At 44.0% G+C, this 7,224-nt stretch overlaps 1 long non-coding RNA gene across 1 annotated transcript; it reads right to left on the bottom strand.

The window, feature by feature from the left end:
- Window positions 1-917: 917 nt before the first annotated feature.
- On the bottom strand, window positions 918-6,869 carry LOC124901139 (uncharacterized). The gene is made up of 2 exons (XR_007059061.1): window positions 6,122-6,869; window positions 918-1,737 (listed from the first exon to the last, which is right to left on the bottom strand). It is a non-coding gene; the product is annotated as an uncharacterized LOC124901139 (long non-coding RNA).
- Window positions 6,870-7,224: the final 355 nt, after the last annotated feature.

The following is a 7,224-nucleotide window of genomic DNA, read 5'->3' as shown; positions in this document are numbered from 1 at the left end:
CAAATTATAAACAATCCAAATGTTCCTCAACTAAAAAAAGATAAATTGCTACTGCTATGGATTCAATGTCCCCTCCAAAACTCATGCTAAAATTTAATTGCCATTGTGACTGTATTAAGAGGTGATTAGGCCATGAGGGCTCATGAAAGGATTAATGTCATTAGGAAGGGAGTGAGTTTGTTATCTCGAGAGTGGATTGTGATAAAAGTGAGTTGGGCACTCTCTTGCTCTCTCACTTTTGCTGTCTCTTGCCCTTTCACCTTCCACTATGGATGATGCAGCATGAAGGCTGTCACCAGATGCAGGCACCATGCTCTTGGACTTTCCAGCCTCCAGAACCATGAGCTACATAAACTTCTTTTCTCTGTAAATTACCCAGCCTCTTGTATTATGTTGTGTCAACACAAAACAGACTAAAACAGCTGTGAAGCAATAAAAAGAAATGAACGACTAGTATATGCAATAACATGGATGATCTTTAAAAGCATGATGCCAGTTGAAAGCAGTCAGACACAAAAGGCCACATACTGTATGGTTTTATTTATATAATAACACTTGGAGCAAAACAACTCAAAAATATTTGGACAGAAATCAGGTGAATGGGCTGAGAGCAGGGGCAGAATGGGGAAGATTGTTGATTGCAAAAGGGCATGAGGGAACTTTCTAGAGTGAGGGAAATGTTCTACATCTGAATTGTGGTGGTGGTTATATGACTCTGAAACTTCGGCAAATATGTATTGAATTGCATACTTAAGAAGGATAAATTTTACGTTTTGTAAATTATCGATAAAGCTGACTTTGAACAAAAAGAGTGAAAGAATTCACATCCTACTCTTTCCTCCTCCCTGTAATAATATATGAAAGTGATAATAAAGGTGAAAATAACAATGCCAGCACAATTATTCCAATAGTAGAAATTTACACTGTAGCACATACATTTAATATCAAGCATCAGTCCTGTATTCCCCAGAGCACAAAGCTTGTAGAATTGGATAATCCTTCCCTTATCTTCTGTTTCTATCACAAAACAAAACAAACACGGAAAATACACTTTCATTTTCCAAAATGTTCTTTTTCTGAAAAAAAGATAATATTTTATTTCCTTACACTCTGTTTCAATCCACAAAGGAATAGAGGCAGCTTACAAGAGTGCTTTCAATAAAGTAGAAGCTATAAATAAAAAATCAGGGTCAAAGAAAATACATGTCACACAAAAAGGTCTAAAGGAAGAAGGAAGTTGGGACGTGGACGGGCAAATCATAAGCTTTTACTCACTCATTTAACCATGATTTTCCTGATGGACCATGGAGGGAAGGATGGAAAAAAAAGAATGAGCCAAAGAATTTACATAGCACATAACCAGAAACCCTCTAACTCCTCAGTGGGAGAAAATAATATCGATGCAAGACAAGCCACCAAAGGTATTTCAGTAGCTTCCCCCATTTCTAACTGGCGTTGTTCTAGGAGAGAATTAACTTGGCTTGAGAAACAGAAGCAAACATGGTCTCAGAGAGAAACTTTCCCATATCTGGTGCCCTCTGTGTCGCCATGGTGCTGTCCAGGTGGCCTCCTTCCCTAGGGCCAGATTGTCCTAGAAGATAAGCAATGCAGGCTGTCGAAAGGACCTCAGACAAGAAGGCAGACTGGGCTCTGGGCTTTGGTCATGACTCAGATACTGGCTGGTTGTTGCATGGCTTTGTGCAGGTTTCTTGACTTCCTGTGCCTCAGTGTCCTCATCTGTAAAATGGACATACCTAATGTAAGCATCTCATGGGACTATTGTGAGAATTCACTTACCAGATGTAAAAGTCATTTGTGAACTTGTGAGAAAGGAGAGAGTGAACCACAGAACAGAAGCGTCTCCCAGGAGGGAGCATGCCACAGGCTGCATCTGATCTTTCTAGGCTGCTGGGAAGACAAGAGACAGAGGATCAAGAGAGGGAGAATGTTCTTAACACCTGACCTGACCAATGTCCTCAACCATGACCAATCCACGGGAATGCCCCTCTTCCTTTTTTTTTTTTGAGAGTCCCACTCTGTCACCCAGGCTGGAGTGCAGTGGCCTAATATCGGCTCACTGCAACCTCTGCCTCCTGGGTTCAAGCGATTCTCCTGCCTCAGCCTCCCTCATGGCACTACAGCAAGTGCCATAGAGGATACAGAGCACTGGAGCTCTCATGCATTACTGGCAGGGATGCAAAATGGCTCTCCTGGCCAATTTGAAAGAACAGTTTGACAATTTCTTACATAGTTCAATAGACACCCACCATATGATCCAGCTGGGACTACAGGCATGCACCACCACACCCAGCTAATTTTTGTATTTTTAGTAGAGATGGAGTTTCACCATGTTGGCCAGGATGATTTCGATCTCTTGACCTCGTGATCCACCCACCTTGGCCTCCCAAAGTGCTGGGATTACAGGTGTGAGCCACCGTGCCCGGCCGGGAATGCTCCTCTTCTTGAGGTTGAAACACACTTTCTTTGATCCAGACCCATCTTTGAGACTAAGGGAAGGTCAGGGGGAGGGAGGAAGGGTGACCTCCTTTTAAACGAACAGGAGTCATGAACATTTTTCATGTGGTTATGGACTCTGCATAAACAAGCTTTTAAATGGCTCCGTTGAGATGAGATGACATTTCACTAAATCATTTCCCTATACCCTCTTCTCCCAGATCTTGCTGTTATAAAGCACACTGCAGCCAGGATCTTCATGCACTCAGCTTCCCTGACAGCCTCTGATTAGTGGATGGGTGACTAGACACACTGAAAGAACATGTTACTGGATAAAACAATAGCTCTTATTATGGGTTGAATTGTATACCCTTAAAATATTTCAAAGTGATCTTATTTGAAAATAAGATCACAGATGATCAAGTTATAGTGAGGTCTCTTTTTTTTTTTTTTTTTTTTGAGACAGGGTCTCACTGTCATCCAGGCTGGAGTGCAGTGGCGCAATCATGGCTCACTGCAGCCTCGATGTCCTGGACTCAAGTGATCCTCCCACCTCAGCCTCCTGAGTAGCTAGGACTACAGATACAGGCCACCACACCTGGCTAATTTCTTTGGATTTTTTTTAGAGACTCGCCATGTTGCCCAGGCTGGTCTAGAACTCCTGGGCTCAAGCTATCCATCTGCTTTGGCCTCCCAAAGTAGTAGGATTACAGGCATGAGCCACCTCACCTGGCCATGATGAGGTCACTAAGGTGGGCCCTAATCCAATGTGACTGTGTCCTCATAAAATGGAGAAATTTGGACACAGAGACAGATATGCAGAGAGGGACAGTGATGTGAAGACACAGGGAGAATCCCTTCTACAAGCCAAGCAATGCCTGAAATTACCAGCATCTAGGTGAGAGGCATGGAGCCAATTCTCCTGCAAAGCCCTCAGAAGGAACCAGCCCTGCTGACACCTTGACCTTGGACTTCTGGCCTCCAGAACGGACACAGTACATTTCTGTTGTTTAAGCCACCCAGTTTGTGGCACTTCATTATAGCAGCCTGAACAGATTATCCAGACTCTCAAATGCTGGCTCAAAGCCAGCCCACGAACAAGTTTTTAGTGGTCTGCAGTCAACCAAGAAAAGAAAGGACACTGTAGAAAATTCTTTGTAATTTAAACTCATTCAATGTTTTATTGTCACAGATTACCCTTTTTTGGTACTATGTGGCAGGTTTATTGTTACATCATTATCTGGCCAAAGTTTTTTTAAAATATATATTACTCCAAGAAAGTGAAAGGCATAGAAAATCCTGGAATAAATCCACTGAAGGGCACTTTCCACCTCTGTTTTGGTGAGTCTAGTTGAGCAGTAGAACCCTGGAGAAGGCAGGAAGGACACACAGCCACGCAGAAGGCAGTCTCTAGATGGCAACCACCGTGAAGGACTTTTCTTTGTCTCCACAACATTTTAGCACAGACCTTTCGACATAGACTTGCTCTGTGATTCCTACTGATTGATTAATAAGTTAGCAAGATGGAATGTAATTTCTGAACCAAAGGGATGCCTGACATTGGGAGAAAGAGCCAGGAATGCTGATCATTGCAGGGCAGACACCTGCTGAGAGGGCTGCCACTGCCCTGCTGGGTCTATGGTGCACCTCGCTACTCAGTCACAGCCATCCTTCTCAAAACCTTCCTCCACAAGGCATCCAACACAGCTGCTAGGAACTGAACTTGACACTTGAGCTGAGTCCAATGTCTTCACTAAATACCCAAGTAACAAATACTCCCTGAAACTCTACCAACCTAGGAAGTGTGCTAAGTTGTCACTCTCCCAAGTGGAATTTCTGGCTCCCTCTCACAAGCCAGGCTGCTGACAAGAAGCCCCCTCCATGCCTTCCTCGGATTTACAGTGATGCAGGGCATGTTCCCCTTTAGTACAGAAGAGCTTTCGTCCCTTTAGGCCTTTGTCCCAGTGGCCTGTAGCTGCCTCTGATGATCAGGTCTGGGACCAGAGCCCAGGAATCTGCTGTGTTGTGTATGACACACACTCCGGGTGTGGGTGGGCGTCCCTAGCATGAAATCATCATGTGTCAGGATCCAATCTGGGTCACTCCAACTGGTCTGTTCATGACATCCTGAAGACCAAACCCCTGAAGCAACATTGCCTGCATTTCCCACCACTACTTCTCACTCTGGTTAGACCTGGTGTATTGGTTTTCCATGGCTGCTGTAACAAATTACTCAGGGGCTTACAACAATAGAAATTTATTCTCTCACAGAAGTCCAAATTTAGTATCACTGGGCTGAAATCAAGGTGTCACCAAGGGCCGCACTCCTTCTGCAGGCTCTAAGGGGAGGATTCATTTCTTCCCTCTTCCAGCTACTGGTGTCTGCCAGCATTCTTTGGCTTATGGCCACATCGCTCCAATCTTCTAGGCCAGCATCTTCAAAACTCTTTCTGCTCTTACGATCACATCACGTTCTCCTCTCCGTCTCAAATCTGTTTCTCTCTTACAAGGATACATGTGATTGTATTTAGGGCCCTCCCGGATAATCCAAGATACTCTCTCTATCTCAAAACCCTTAACTTAATCACCTCTTTTGCCATTTATGGTAATATTCATGTTGCCATAGAAGGTAATATTCACTTTGCCATAGAAGGTAATACAGATTCCAGGGGTCAGGATTTGGAATCTCTTTTTTTATGGGGGAGGGTGGCATTTTTCAGTCTGCCAGACTTGGTTTTATCTCTGTACTCCATCCTAACCATGCCCATTAAGGCCAATGCAGCTGATGTGTGTAGAATTCATGGGCTATATGGGATTCACGTGAGCTCATATCTAAGGCTGGGGTAGGAATGGGGAATCACTGATGAGGCTTCTGGGCTGGTAGTTGAAGAGATAAAAATCAAGGTGGTGGGCCAGGTGCAGTGACTCACGCCTGTAATCCCAGCACTTTGAGAGGCCGAGGCAGGTGGATCACTTGAGGTCAGGAGTTTGAGACCACCTGATCAACATGATGAAACCCCGTCTCTACTAAAAAGTAGCCAGACGTGGTGGCACACACCTGCAATCCCAGCTACTTGGGAGGCTGAGGCAGGAGAATCACTTGAACCCGGGAAGCAGAAGTTGCACTGAGCCAAGATCACGCCATCGCACACCAGCCTGGGCTAGAAGAGCGAAACTCCATCTCAAAAAAAAAAAAAAATTACGGTGCTGTTGGGCTTATCTTGCAAATAAGATGAGAATAAAGCTTTGCTCAAACTCCAGCAATCATGCTCTAGAGAGAAAGAAGCTCATGTGTATTTATGCAAGACCCTATTGCAGCCTCCAGAACAATAGAACAGTGTTGCCCACGGCCTTATGGAAACTTTTCTCTGTTTTCCATTCACTTCCCCTCTCTTGAAACAGGTAACACGGGTTATCTACCCGAGGTTTAATTCCTCCTGCCTCTCCTTCTTAACAGAACCCACATATTCTTCGGAGACCTACTCCCCTCCCTAAGGACTTGGCTACCTCATCCCTATGAGCTTGCAAGATTGGGCTCTCATTATTCTAGACCAATCATCGTGGGTTCAATCATAGTGGGAAGTGCTGCACCTTTTTTTTTTTAATTTATTTATTTATTTTTTTAGTGAGCACATAGGGAGCCAATGTAAGAACACCATTTACTTACTAAAGATGTCAGCGTGAAGATGGGAAAATATGAGTCCTTAGTGAGTTAACTGAGCTGCTGAATCAGCCAACCCAGAGCCTCCTCATTCTCAGAGTTCTTACGATGTTGAGCTCGTACATTTCCTTGTTTAAGAGAATTCAAGTTGGAGCCCGAAGTACTGTAAGCCGCTTTCTGTGGAAGGACCTGATACTGCCCAGGCAAACCCACTTTTCCTTCTGGCAACACAAAACAGGAACTGTCAACATCACAGAGAAAAGCTTACATTAGATTTCAGATCAGGGCCTGTATTTATGTAACAAGTTGGAGAAAGATGAATTCACCAAAAATCTCTTTAAAAGTGATAGCTGAGGCTGGGCACGGTGGCTCACACCTGTAATCCCAACATTTTGGGAGGCTGAGGCGGGTGGATCATCAGGTCAGGAGATCGAGACCATCCTGGCCAACATGGTGAAACCCCATCTCTACTAAACTACAAAAAATTAGCTGGGTGTGGTGGCACATGCCTGTAGTCCCAGCTACTCAGGAGGCTGAGGCAGGGGAATCGCTTGAACCTGGGAAGCAGAGGTTGAAGTGAGATGAGATCCTGCCACTGCCCTCCAGCCTGGAGATACCAAGACTCTGTCTCAAAAAAAAAAAAAGAAAAAGAAAAAAAGTGATAGCTGAGTTAGTGAGAAAAATAGTTTGATAAGTATTTAAAGTCACAGTAGTGATTGTGAAGCATTAAGCTTCGCTAGAACAGAGGAGAGGATATTATTTGTTGCCTAGGAAAAGGTGGAATGTTGAAATAAGAGGACAAAAGAGAGAGAAGGGATTCAGGAGACGGCAGAAAGCTAGGAACCTGCGTGGTGTCACCACTTTCTCTGGAAACTTCTCATATCTCCCCACATCCCCCCATTCTAGTACAGCTCAGAAAAAACACAAAATGCTAATAAAAGTGGACCACTTGTAGAAATCAGTGACACAGCTGATTTTGGTTTCTATAGGGTCATAGAGGTAATAGAATAAATAGCATACAGGGAGTAAGAAAATGAAGACAGAAACATAACAAATAATTCCCCATCAATTTCTCCCAAATCAATAAGAGACATTTGGTTTTCATGAGA

Source organism: Homo sapiens, chromosome 5, assembly GCF_000001405.40.
Source record: "Homo sapiens chromosome 5, GRCh38.p14 Primary Assembly".
Classification (NCBI taxonomy): Eukaryota; Metazoa; Chordata; class Mammalia; order Primates; family Hominidae; genus Homo; species Homo sapiens.
Note: the sequence above shows the minus strand (reverse complement) of the source record. Positions and strands in the feature narration are given on the sequence as shown.